Source organism: Homo sapiens, chromosome 11 (assembly GCF_000001405.40).
Source record: "Homo sapiens chromosome 11, GRCh38.p14 Primary Assembly".
In the NCBI taxonomy this organism is placed as follows: domain Eukaryota; kingdom Metazoa; phylum Chordata; class Mammalia; order Primates; family Hominidae; genus Homo; species Homo sapiens.
This window is the reverse complement of record NC_000011.10, coordinates 9,283,625-9,297,385: the sequence shown is the minus strand read 5'-3', so window position 1 is coordinate 9,297,385 and position 13,761 is coordinate 9,283,625. Positions and strand designations below refer to the sequence as shown.

At 41.3% G+C, this 13,761-nt stretch overlaps 1 protein-coding gene across 4 annotated transcripts in view; it reads left to right on the top strand.

Annotated features, from left to right (window-relative positions):
* The window catches only part of TMEM41B (transmembrane protein 41B), a 33,940-nt gene that overhangs the window by 17,208 nt on the left and 2,971 nt on the right, over positions 1–13,761 (top strand). For 2 of the 4 annotated variants that reach the window (NR_028491.3, NM_015012.4), the window contains exons 3-6: positions 1,999–2,127; positions 8,851–8,944; positions 9,580–9,684; positions 10,793–10,931. Coding sequence is in view for 3 of the 4 variants with exons in the window: in NM_015012.4 (NP_055827.1) it covers positions 1,999–2,127; positions 8,851–8,944; positions 9,580–9,684; positions 10,793–10,931 (467 nt within the window). In the remaining variant the exon portion in view is untranslated. Of the gene's footprint in view, positions 1–1,998; positions 2,291–8,843; positions 8,945–9,579; positions 9,685–10,792; positions 10,932–13,761 lie in introns of those variants that run through there. The other 2 variants (XM_047426969.1, NM_001165030.3) reach the window with 2 other exon arrangements.

Here is a 13,761-nt window from a genome sequence, read left to right as displayed (position 1 = left end):
CGGCCTGGCGCGGTGGCTCATGCCTGTAACCCCAGTACTTTGGGAGGCCAAGGTGGGCGGATCACGTGAGGTCAGGAGTTTGAGACCAGACTGGCTAACGTGGAGAAACCCCATCTCTACTAAAAATAAAAAAATTAGCTGGGCGTGGTGGCGGGCGCCCGTAGTCCCAGCTACTTGGGAGGCCGAGGCAGGAGAATGGCGTGAACCTGGGAGGCGGAGCTTGCAGTGGGCCGAGATCACGCCACTGCACTCCAACCTGGGCGACAGAGCAGGACTCTATCTAAAAAAAACAACAACTAGCAGAGCATAGTGGCACGTGCCTGCAGTCCCAGCTACTCAGTAGTCTGAGGTGGGAGGATCACTTGAACCTAGGAGATGGAGGTAATATTGAGCTATGATCGTGCCATTGCACTCCATCCAGCCTGGGTGACAGAGCATGGGAGCCTGCCTATAGAACAAACAAAAAAAAAGAAATGATCATAATATGCATGAAACACAAAGGTGATTATTCGAGGCTTTCCTAAGCAAGAAATCATTCAGTTCCAAACAAAGTGCCAAATATAGAGTAAAAGTACTGGAAAACTTGCAGTTTTTTGTGGACTTTGATCTGTGGTATTCAAGAAAATGTTTGAACTGTGAATTTGTTACATTTTTACTTAATTTTCATTGTAAATTATTATTTAGTTTATCATCAGGATTACCCAAAATGATGTTAAATGTTTTTAATTTACTAACATCAGTGGTTCTTTTTTTCTTTCTTTCTTTTTTTTTTTTTTTTTTTTGAGACGGAGTCTCTGTTGCCCAGGCTGGAGGCTCACTGCAGCCTCTGCCTCCCGGGTTCAAGTGATTGTCCTGCCCCAGCCTCCTGAGTAGCTGGGATTACAGGCATGCACCACCATGCCCAGCTAATTTTTGTATTTTTAGTAGAGACGGGGTTTCAACACGTTTGCCAGGCTGGTCTCGAACTCCTCATGTCAGGCGATCCACCCGCCTCGGCTTCCCAAAGTGCTGGGGTTACAGGCGTGAGCCACCATGTGCCTGGCCAGTGGTTCATTTCTTATATTCAAGTTAAAATTTGTTTCGATGTTGGAACAAATGCCTTTAACCCTTGGTTTGCGTCATCCAGAGCCTTCATATATAAATTACCTGTCTCTGATTCTGCTGAGACATTAAAAAGAAAAAATTGCCTGTCTCATGAAATTATATTAAAGCATTAAAAAATAATTTATAGCCGGGCATGGTGGCTTACTCCTGTAATCCCAGCACGTTGGGAGGCCAAGGCGGGTGGATCACCTAAGGTCAGGAATTTGAGACCAGCCTGGCCAACATGGTGAAACCCCGTCTCTACTAAAAATACAAAAATTAGTCAGGCATGGTGGGACGTGCCTGTAATCCCAGCTACTTGGGAGACTGAGGCAGGAAACTCACCTGAATCCAGGAGGTGGAGGTTGCACTGAGCCGAGATCGCGCCAATGCACTCCAGCCTGGGCAACAGAGTGAGACTGTGTCAAAAAAAATAATAAAAATAAAATGAAATTAATAATAATTTATAGGCCAGGTGCGGTTGCTCACTCCTGTAATCCCAGCACTTTGGGAGGCCGAGGCAGGAGGATCATTTGAGCACAGGAGTTTGAGACCAGCCTGGCAACATGGTGAAACTCCCTCTCTACTAAAAATACAAAAGTTAGCTGGGCATGGTGGTGCACGCCTGTGATCCCAGCTTCTCAGAAGGCTGAGGCAGGAGAATCGTTTGTACCTGGGAGGCAGAGATTGCCGTGAGCTGAGATTCCACCACTGCACTGCAGCCTGGGCAACAGAGCAAGACTCTATGTCTCAAAACAAAAGAAAAATTATAAACTTTTAAACTTAAACATTGCTAATTTAGACTTAATAGATCAAGGCATGAAATCATTTTGGATAAAACTTCATGTTGTGAACTTGACTTTGATATTATCTTGGCAAAATTCTGTTCTAAAATTTTTCACTTTATTTCTTCAGAGAAGAAAGAGTGAATATGAAGGTTCCCAGAGATATGGATGATGCCAAGGCTCTAGGAAAAGTTTTATCCAAATACAAGGACACCTTTTATGTTCAAGTACTTGTAGCTTATTTTGCTACATATATTTTGTATCCTTTTAACTGAAAAAATGTTTTCTAATTTTGTTCAAGAAAAAGTGTAAAAGGTCTGCTCTTCATTTATACATAACTATTTTCCTTTTAAAATTTGTTATTGCAGTGTGACAATATTAAATAATTGAAAAATTAAAATGGAAAAAAATTATCACTTTAATCCTATTTGCTGAACTAATTGTTTTTATGTCTGAATATTTATTAGAAGTTCTTTTGTATTCTGCTTTTTTCACTTACCAAACATTTTCCTTTATTGCATATTATTAAGATGTTTATTTTATGGGTTTGATTTATAATTGTATTCATTAACTGATGATACTAGTTTATATAATTATTTTGAATTAGTAGTCACCATAGTATTTTTATAATTGTTCTGTTAGGTTTGGAGGTATAATTTGTTGTTAATTTTTATAGATATGTATTATGAATCTCCTTTGTTCATGTTTTTTTCTTGCATTGTTTCTTTTGTAAAAATTCTTAAGATACTTATTCAAAGGAATGAATGTTTTTTACAATTTTTGATATATATTTTATAGAAATATATTACATTTTAACTAGTCAGGAAAATAGCTTTATTTCAAACTGCTTAGCTGTGGGTGCTTAATTTTGCATATTGTGGAGTTTAATTTTCATTTCTGATTTGTTAATATCTTTTATTCTTATCCAAACTGTTTTCCAGATCTTCTCAGTTAATGAAAGACGTAATTTACTTCTTGATGTTGTAAAAGTAATCATCCTTTTTAAACCAACTTTTTTTTTTTTTTTTTGAGATGGAGTTTTGCTCTTGTTACACAGGCTGGAGGCACAATCTCTGGTCACTGCAACCTCCACCTCCTAGGTTCAAGCGATTCTCCAGTCTCAGCCTCCCAAGTAGCTGGGATTGCAGGCGCCTGCCGCCATACTTGGTTAATTTTTGTATTTTCAGTAGAGACGGAGTTTCACCATGTTGGCCAGGGTCGTCTGGAACCCCTGACCTCAGGTGATCTGCCCATCTCAGCCTCCCAAAGTGCTGGGATTACAGGTGAGAGCCACTGTGCCCGGCTTTTTTTTTTTTTTTTTTTTTTTTTTTTTTTTTGAGACAGGTTCTCCCCCTGTCACCCAGGCTGGAGTGCAGTGGCATGATCATGGCTCACTGCAGCCTCAGCCTCCTGGGCTCAAGTGATCCTCCCACCTCAGCCTCCCGAGTAGCTGGAACCACAGGCACACCCAGTTAAATTTGGGATTTATTTGTAGATGCCAGGTTTTGCTATGTTGTCTGGGCTGGTGTTGAACTCCTGAGCTCCTCAGCCTCCCAAAGTGCTGGGATTTCAGTCATGAGCCGCCACGCCTGACAACACTGGGATATTATATAGCTATTTAAAAAGAATCAGAAGTAGCCAGGTATGGTGGCTCATGCCTGCAACACCAGCACTTTGGGAGCCCGAGGCGGGTGAATCACGTGAGGTCAGGGGTTCAGACCAGCCTGGCCAACATAGTGAAACGCCATCTTTACTAAAAATACAAAAATTAGCTGGGCGTGGTGATTGCATGCCTGTAATCCCAACTACTCAGGAGGCTGAGGCAGGAGGATCACCTGAACCCAGGAGGTGGAGGTTGCAGTGAGCTGAGATCGTGCCACTGCACTCCAGCCTTGGTGACAGCAAGATTCCATCCCCAAAAAATAAAAATAACAAAAATAAAAAGAATCAGAAGTATCCATATGTTGTTGAGGTATTAACTCACAATATACAGATAAGTGAAAGAACAAAGGGCAAAATAGTACACAAATATGCTGTGTTTTATCTAAGAAGGGGATAATATGAGTACACTCATATACATAAGTATCTTGTTATATTTTTCTTAAAAAACTAATTGGCCGGGTGTAGTGGCTCATTCCTGTAATCCCAGCACTTTGGGAGGCTTCAGCAGGAGGATTGCGTGAGGCCAGTGGTTCGAGACTGGCTTGGGCAATGTAGCTAGACCCAGTTTCTACGAGAAATACAAAAATTAGCTGGATGTCTTGGTACATGCCTGTAGTCCTAGCTACTTGGGAGGCTGAGGTGGGAAGATCACCTGAGCCCAGGGAAGTTGAGGCTACAGCGAAGCATTTAGCCTCTGCACTCCAGCCTAGGTGACAGTGAGACTGTATCTCAAATAAATAAACCAGTAAAAATGTTTACCTGTAGGGAGAGAGATAAAATGGTAGGACTGAAACTTTTCTTAGCGTAGGTTTGACTTGAGAACCAAGTAAATGTTTTACATAATTACAAAATCAAAATGAAAAAAGAGAATAGCAGGAATCTTAAGAATCAAAAGCAACCTCACACTCATTAGGATGGCTATCATGAAAATAACAAGTGTTGGCAAGGATGTGGAGAAATTGGAACTCTTGAGCACTGTTGGTGGGAATGCAAAATGATGCAGCTACTATGGAAAATAGTATGGCAGTTCCTCAAAAATTAAGAATAGTATTATCAGGGCCGGGTGTGGTGGCTCACACCTATAATCCCAGCACTTTGGGAGACCGAGGCAGGCTGATCACCTGAGTTTGGGAGTTCAAGACCAGCCTGACCAACATGAAGAAATCCCGTCTCTTCATGTATTTTTTTGTAGCGATGGGATTTCATCATGTTGCCCAGGCTGGTCTCGAACTGGAACTCTTGGGCTCAAGTGATCCTCCCACCTCAGCCTCCCAAGGTGCTGGGATTACAGGTGTGAGTCACCAGGCCTAGCCAAAAATCTTAAAACTGTTTTTAGTCATCATATTGTTAGTAGTAATAATGTTGTAAAATATTTAAATATGTGGAAACGTTTTAGATTATTAATACTAATGCATAGTATATATTTTATACATTTACTTTATGTTTCATAGTATATAAAGCACAAATAGGCAACTATGTTGGTGTTATCAAGAACCAAGATTTTTCAGTGTAAGAGAAGAGAAATCTAAACAAAGTTAAGCTCAAGTCACATTCCCATTTAAAAGGAAGCATAGTTTTGACTACTAGTATAAGATAAAGGATAGAACATAAACTACCCTAAGTATCCAATAGGCAAAATTCAATAAATGGTAAATTCTACAAATGATCTGGTTTCTTCAGTAAATTGAAAGAAAGAAAAAATAAAGACCCTATGCTTAAGTGATCCTTTGAGCAAATACTTTGTGTGGACTTCTAGATTCTGATCAGACTAGTCTTTAGGACAATAAGGAATTATAGTTAATTTCTTGAAGTCTGACAATGGTATCATATTTATGTTAAAAAGAAAAGGAGGCCAGGCACGGTGGCTAACACCTATAATTCCAGTACTTTGGGAGGCCGAGGCAGGTGGATCACGAGGTCTGGAGTTCAAGACCAACCTGACCAAGATGGTGAAACCCTGTCTCTACTAAAAATACAAAAATTAGCCAGTTATGGTGGCAGGCGTCTGTGATTCCAACTACTTGGGAGGCTGAGGCAGAGAATTGCTTGAACCTGGGATGCGGAGAATGCAGTGAGCTGAGATCACGCCACTGCCCTCCAGCCTGGACGACAGAGCGAGACTCCTACCACAAAAACGAAAGGAAAAAAAAAGGAATTGGCCGGGCGTGGTGGCCACACCTGTAATCCCAGCACTTTGGGAGGCCAAGCGGGGTGGATCACGAGATCGGGAGATGGAGACTATCCTGGCCAACATGGTGAAACCTGTCTGTACTAAAAATAAAAAAAATTAGCTGGGCGCGATGGCACACGCTTGTAATCCAAGCTACTCGGGAGGCTGAGGCAGGAGAATCGCTTGAACCTGGGAGGCAGGGGTTGCAGTGAGCCAAGATCATGCCACTGCACTCCAGCCTGGCGACAGAGCGAGACTCAGTCTCAAAAAAAAATTTATTTTTATTATTATTATAATTTTTTTGAGATGGGAGTCTCACTCTGTTTCCCAGGCTGGAGTGTAGCGACGCGATCTCGGCCCACTGCAACCTCCGCTGCCCGAGTTCAAGCAATTCTCCTGCTTCAGCTTGCCAAGTAGCTGAGATTACAGGCACCTGCCACTGCGCCCGGCTAATTTTTTGTATTCTTTGAACTCCTGACCTCATGATCCACCTGCCTTGGCCTCCCAAAGTGTTGGGATTTACAGGTATGAGCCACCGCGCCCAGCCTTATTTTTATTTTTATTTTTTTTGAGACAGAGTCTCACTCTATTTCCCAGGCCAGAGGTCAGTGGCATGATCTCGGCTCACTACAACGTCTGCCCTCTGGGTTCAAGAGATTCTCGTTTCCCAGCCTCCTGAGTACCTGGCATTACAGGCATGAGCCACTGTGACTGGCCAATTTTTGTATTTTTATTAAAGACAGGGTTTCATCGTGTTGGCCAGGCTGTTCTTCAACTCCTAGTCTCAAGTGATCCACCCTCAGCTGCCTAAAGTATTGGGATTACAGGCGGGAGCCACGGTGCCCAGCCTGAAATATGTTAATATAGGGCATCATAACACTAGTTTCTCTACTTTGTTTTTTTTTCCCCAATTTCAGCTGTAATTTTAGGTTTCCTTTTCAGAGAAGTAGGAATTGCACCAAATTTTGGGAAAGGAAAAAATACAGTTGCGTTAAACAACAAAAACAACAAAACACTTCCTGGGAACTTGTCCTCATTTATTTCTGCTTCTCTCAATTTCCTCAAGGGAAAATTTCCATTTATCTCCTTTCATCCTTTGGAGTCTTGCTTTCTTTTCTTTCTTTTTTTTTTTTATTATTATACTTTAAGTTCTGGGGTACATGTGCACAGCGTGCAGGTTTGTTACATACGTATATGTGTGCCACGTTGGTTTGCTGTACCCATCAACTTGTCATTTACATTGAGTATTTCTACATTTACATATGTGTGAAACTATCCATAATATGATGTTTTGTTTTGTTTTGTTTTTGAGATGGAGTCTTGCTCTGTTGCCAGGCTGGCTTGCAGTGGCGAGATCTCGGCTCACTGCAATCTCCTGCTTCCTGGGTTCAAGCGATTCCCCTGCCTTGGCTTCCCGAGTAGCTGGGACTACAGGTGCCCACCACCACGCCCGGCTAGTTTTTTGTATTTTAGTAGAGACGGTTTCACCATGTTGGCCAGGATGGTCTCGATCTCCTGACTTTGTGATCCGCCTGCCTCAGACTCCCTAAGTGCTGGGATTACAGGCATGAGCCACCCCACCCGGTCCATATAGTACAATCTTAACCCAAAAAGTGTGTGTGTTTGTGTGTGTGTGTGTGTGTGTGTTTTGTTTTTGACAGAGACATGTAGGAGACAGGTGGAAAATTTGAGGCTGATGAACCAAAGAGAATTTCGAGTTTTTAGTACTATATGTGGTTGATACTTGAAGCCATGGAAATTGCCAAATTTATCAAAGAAAAGGGATTGTGTGGCCAACAGAATGTTAGAGAAATTTCAAGAGTTGAGGGCAAAGAGAAAAATCTAGAGAAGAAATTACCTGTAATGTAGAAGAAAAAGTACAGTTCACTGAAGCCATGTTTCATGCAGGATGAAGTCTAATCCTATGCAGGGATCACTGAAAGGTGACTATTGAGAAAAAGTTATTATTGGCTGTGAGGAAGTTTCAATAGCATAGTGGAATAGTAAAGCAGGTCACAGGGAACGAGGAGAGAATCTCCTCTGAGGAAGTGAAGATGAGCGGTAGCTGGATAGGATACCCTGGTTGAGGTTGTTTTTTAAGTTATAGACAACTGAGTAGTTTTGTAGAGGAGGCATCCTGTGAAAGAGAACAGAGTTGAAGGTGAAAAAACCCAGGAGGAAGGAGGAGGAGATTGAAATGAGAACATGAGTAAAATGGGAACTAGAGAAAAAGGAATAGTTAATGAGTGAGGATAGATGGAGAGATGTTGAGGGAATTCACTTTGACTTGTGAGTAAATCATATTAGAGGGGAAAAAGGTTCAGATCCAAACTGGGAACGACAGGAAAGTAAAAAAAAAAAAAAATCTATTTTAAAAACAAGATTTGTGGCCCGGGTGTAGTCGCTCATATCTGTAACCTCAACACTTTGGGAGTCCATTGTGGGAGGATCGTTTGAGCCCAGGAGTTCAAGACTAGCCTGGGCAACTCAGCCAGACCTCATCTCTACAAATAATAAAAATTGGTGTGGTGACACACGTCCGTGATCCCAACTACTTGCAAGGCTGAAGTGGGAGAATTGCTTGAGCTTGGGCATTTGAGGCTGCAGTGAGCCATGAGTGCGCCACTGCGTTCCAGCCTGGGTGACAAAGCAAGACCCCTTCTCAAATAAGATTTGTGACTTTTACTATATTTTGTAATTTCTATTCTTATTTTTCTTATTTTCTTTTATTCTCTTGTAGTTCCTATTCCTTTAAAATGAGTAGTGAATTTAGGTAAACCTTCATAGTTAAATTAGAAATAATTGTATGTACATGATTTCCCTGAAAACATTTGGGAGTAAAATAAAATGTATTAGAGAAGCACTAAAAGATTACGGAAGACCTTTTCTTTTTTCTTTTGTTCCTCCCCCAAAGTGCCCGGTTCCTCTCTATCTAGAACATACGGTTTTTTGTCTTGGAAACCTTTTAGTAGCACACACTTACTAGTATTTATGATACTGTTTAGTAAATGGTCAACTTAGAGGCTAGACCTTTGGATATAATCTCATTGTATGATAATTTTTGTATTTATACTTTTTTCCTGAAATGTTACATTTGTCTTTTAAAATTCTACTTAATTATATTCTAATCCTTAACTTAAAAGTTACCAGCTTGCAAACATTTGCTATTCCAGGCTCTATATTTCTCAGTATACTCTCAGGGTTTCTTTATCCCTTTCCACTAGCCTTATTTCTTGTTTGTTTGGTAAGTATGAAAAAATAAAATTGGGAGACTGAAAAAACAATAGAATGATGAGGATGATGATGATACTTTAACCCTACTAGTCTATGTAAGCATAAACTCATTAATTGAAGAGGAGTTAATGTTAAAGTCCCTCCACAAGGAGGTGTTATAATTTGTTTTTCCCCCAGAACAGACCAATTATAGACTTAGTTGCATTTATAAGCTATGTTTTAGCTTTTCTTTCCTATTGGATTTTGTAACTGCGACAGTCCAAGGAGTGTTGGTGAGCACAATGAGTTAAGTCCCAGAGCCAGAGGTGGTGTTTTCAAGCTTAGGAACTGGGGGGGTCGGGGGTAGGGTCGGGGGGAGGTGGAAATTGGCTCCTGAAATTTTATTCTTAGGCTAAAGCCTAGCATTAATTATTTGGATATAGTCACTAGGTGTAATCACAAGTGCCAGTTTGTTTTAGCTGATCTCATTTGAGGTACATTTTGGTCTGAGAAAGTACTAGATCATCTCTGCACAAGAGATGTCATGCAGAGTACCCTCCCCACCTCTGAAAGAAGTAAATTAATTGAGCTTTTTACTCAGGTGAATAAATCAATGTGAGTAAGACGGAAAAATACAAAACGCTTATGGCTTCTTTTGTTTTCCAGTGTTCTGGACTTGGTGCCTCTTTCTGTTATATGCTTTCCTATTTAGTTGGGAGACCAGTTGTATACAAATACCTAACAGAGAAAGCAGTAAAATGGTCACAGCAGGTAAACATGTATTTTTAAATTATTTGATGTAACTCTTTGTTAATTGGAAGGTCTGTGTTTAGTCCCTACATGAATTAACTACATGTATTAACCCAACATAAATTAATTCCTAAGTTAACTCAAGTAATAAGAATTATCTTCTGACCAAATAAAAATGGGTGGTAGGCAAATATGAATGTTAATAATTTCAAATACAAATGTTTCAGACCTGTGATGGTAATTTTAATTCTTTATCTTAGTAAATTTAATCAGCAGAGAAGTCAGTGTGAATATAAAGGCATCCACATAATTAGATACCTATCTGTTTTATGTTAATGCAGTATTGTGTGCATCTGTTATGGAAACACTTGTATCAGCCAACTCCCAGTGCATTTTTTTCTTTTCTTTTTTTGAGACGGAGTCTTACTCTGTCACCCAGGCTGGAGTGCAGTGGCATGACCTCGGCTCACTGCAACCTCTGCCTCCTCGGTTCAAGCATTTCTCCTGCCTGCCTCAGCCTCCCAAGTAGCTGGGATTATAGGTACATGCCACCACGCCTGGCTAATTTTTTGTATTTTTAGTAGAGACAGGGTTTTACCATGTTGGCCAGGCTGGTCTCGAACTCCAGACCTCAGGTGACCCACCTGCCTCAACCTCCCAAAGTGCTGGGATTATAGGCATGAGTCACCACTGGCCTTTTTTGATGATTTCTTTTCTTTTTTGAGTCAGAGTTTCGCTCTTGTTGCCCAAGCTGAAGTGCAGTGGCGTGATCTTGGCTCATTGCAACCTCTGCCTCCCGGGTTCAAGCGATTCTCCTGCCTCAGCCTCCCAAGTAGCTAGGATTTCAGGCACATGCCACCATGCCCGGCTAATTTTTTGTATTTTTAGTAGAAACGGGTTTCACCATGTTAGCCAGGCTGTTCTCGAACTCCTGACCTCAGGTGATCCGCCTGCCTCAGCCTCCCAAAGTGCTGGGATTACAGGCATGAACCACCTCGCCAGCCTGATCATTTCTATTGGGTATACTCTGAAGTATCAGGAATGAGAATTTGAAATAAGGTGTTTATATTAAGCAACTTATTTTGAAGTTGTCCTCATCTGATGCTAATTCTTTTCTTTCTTATGACAGGTTGAACGTCATAGAGAACATCTCATTAACTACATTATATTTTTGAGAATAACACCATTTCTGCCTAATTGGTTTATTAATATCACATCTCCTGTGATAAACGTGCCATTGAAAGTTTTTTTTATTGGTACTTTTCTAGGTAAGCCCTCTGGTTCTTGCTGTGTATGAGCTCACTGTGTACATATCTAACAGTGTCCAGCTGGGCTAGATTACATGCATGCTCTCTGCAGATTATGCCAGCACCATCTAGAATTCTTGGGCACAAAGCCTGGCTGTATAAATAGATGCTCAGAAGTGTTTGTTGAATTGTGTTGATTTAGGTTATTTTTGTGTCGCCTCTTTAAAGAAGAACACTTTCTACTGTATATCGTTTTAATGATATAGGGTTAAGCAGGACTTCCAGTCCCTCTAAGTGGAGAGGAAAAAAAATCAAATTGCCTTTTTTGAGCAATTTTCTCCTATGTCCCTTCCCCTTCCTCTTCCCTGAGTCTCGATCTGTCGCCCAGGCTGGAGTACAGTGGCATGATCTCGGCTCACTGCAATCTCCGCCTCCCGGGTTCAAGCGATTCTCCTGCCTCAGCCTCCCAAGGAGCTGGTACTGCAGGCACACGCCACCACGTCTGGCTAATTTTTGTATTATTAGTAGAAATGGGGTTTCACCATGTTGGCCAGGCTGGTCTCGAATTCCTGTCCTCATGGTCCACCTACCTCAGCCTCCCAAAGTGCTGGGATTATAGGCGTGAGCCACCGCACCCAGCCCTTTCTTTTTTTTTTTTTTTTTGTAAATGTTGCTTTGGCAAAATAGCTCCTTTGTTTTCTAATCAAGTATTAAAATGTTGAACTTGAATTTTCAGTAGAGAATTGATCCTATTTTTCCTTTTACTGAAACCAGCTTTTATCGCGGATGTTATCAAAAGTATGGAAAAAGCAAGGATCAACAAACTTTCTTGCTTTTAAGGAAATAATACTTGATTTTGAAATTAATCAGTGGACATGAAAATTACTTACATATTTTGTGAATTCTCATGATTCTTTGTAGGAATGTTTTGCTCTTCTTTCCAGTTCGAGTTGAATTGTTTAGAAGTCAAAAATACGAGCAGATTTCTTACATATTGAATACCTATTAAAGCTTAAGTTAATACTTGTGAGAATATGTCTTTTTGAAAAGAATAACCAAAATCAATTATTTATTGCTACTTTAAAAAAAAATTAGCCGGGCGCGGTGGTTCACGCCTATAATCCCAGCACTTTGGTAGGCCAAGGCGGGTGGATCACAAGGTCAAGAGTTCGAGACCAGCCTGGCCAATATGGTAAAACCCTGTCTCTACTAAAAATTCAAAAATTAGCTGAATGTGGTGGCAGGTGCCTGTAGTCTCAGCTACTCAGGAGGCTGAGGCAGGAGAATCACTTGAACCCAGGAGGCAGAGGTTGCAGTGAACCGAGATTGTGCCACTGCACTCCGGCCTGGGCGACAGCAAGACACTGTCTCAAAAAAAAAAAAAAAAGAAAGAAGGAAAGAATGAAAAGAAAAGAAAAAAAAATGGACAAACTTACATCAGCATGGGGAATTTTTAATTTTGTTAAATGTCATATCCATGGAATCTAAAGAGAGAATTTTTGTTTCTATCTCCATTTTATAGGTGAAAGCCAGAGATTTAGTTAATTTCAGCTTTGGCCAAAGTAATTTATTTCCCTTTGTTTTGATTTTTAGTGAAATGTCATCATTCTCTATGTACTTTTGTATACACTGCTCTCTTTACTCACACTTTGAGTATCTTGACCTTGAAATTGCTAGAACAGAGCACGTTTCTTTCTTTTTTTTTCTCTTTTTGAGACAGATTCTCTCTCTGTCGCCCAGGCTGGAGTGCAGTGGCGTGATCTCAGCTCATTGCAACCTCCGCCTCCTGGGTTCAAGTGATTCTTTTGCCTCAGCCTCCCAAGTAGCTGGGATTACAGGTGTGCGCCAACACACCCAGCTAATTTTTGTATTTTTAGTAGAGATGGAGCTTCATCATGTTGGCCAGGCTGGTCTCAAACTCCTGACCTCAGGTGATCTGCCTGCCTTGGCCTCCCAGGGTGCTGGGATTACACGTATGAGCCACTGTGCCGGGCCTGTTTTTTTTTCTTTTAAGGTTTTTGATAGTCTGGGTGTGGTGGCTCACACTTGTAATCCCAGCACTTTGGGAGGCTGAGGCGTGTGAATTGCCTGAGCCTGGGAGTTACAGAGACCAGCCTGGGCAATATGGCAAAACCCCCTCTCTTGACAAAAAATTCAAAAATTTTGCCTGGGTGTGGTGGTACACGCCTGTAGTCCCAGCTGCTCAGAAAGCTGAGGTGGGACAATCACCTGAGCCTCGAGAGACTGAGGCTGCAATGAGTGATGATTGCACCACTGCACTCAAGCCTGTGCGATAGAGTCAAACTCTCGGGGGGAGAAAACAAAAGCATTTTTGATAAATGTAAAACTATTTTCTGGGCCCTTTTCTTGCGTTTTTAAAATTCATTATTCTGGCCAGGTGCAGGGGCTCATGCCTGTAATCCCAGCACTTTGGGAGGCTGAGGTGGGCGGATCATCTGAGGTCGGGAGTTTGAGACCATTCTGACCAACATGGAGAAACCCCATCTCTACTGAAAATACAAAATTAGCCGGGTGTGGTGGCACATGCCTGTAATCCCAGCTACTCGGGAGGCTGAGGCAGGAGAATTGTTTGAACCCGGGAGGCGGAGGTTGCAGTGAGCCAAGATCGCGCCATCGTGTTCCAGCGGGGGCAACAAGAGCGAAACTCCGTCTCAAAAAAAAAAAAAATCATTATCCTTAAGAGGTGATTAGGAAAGATTGAATTCTTTATATGGAAATAAACTTGAGCTTTAAATTCTTAATTTTTTTTCCAAAATGGAAATAGCTGTGTTGTTTTAAGAAACTTTATGCACACAGAACATTTTAATTTTTTAAAAACAATTGCGGTGGT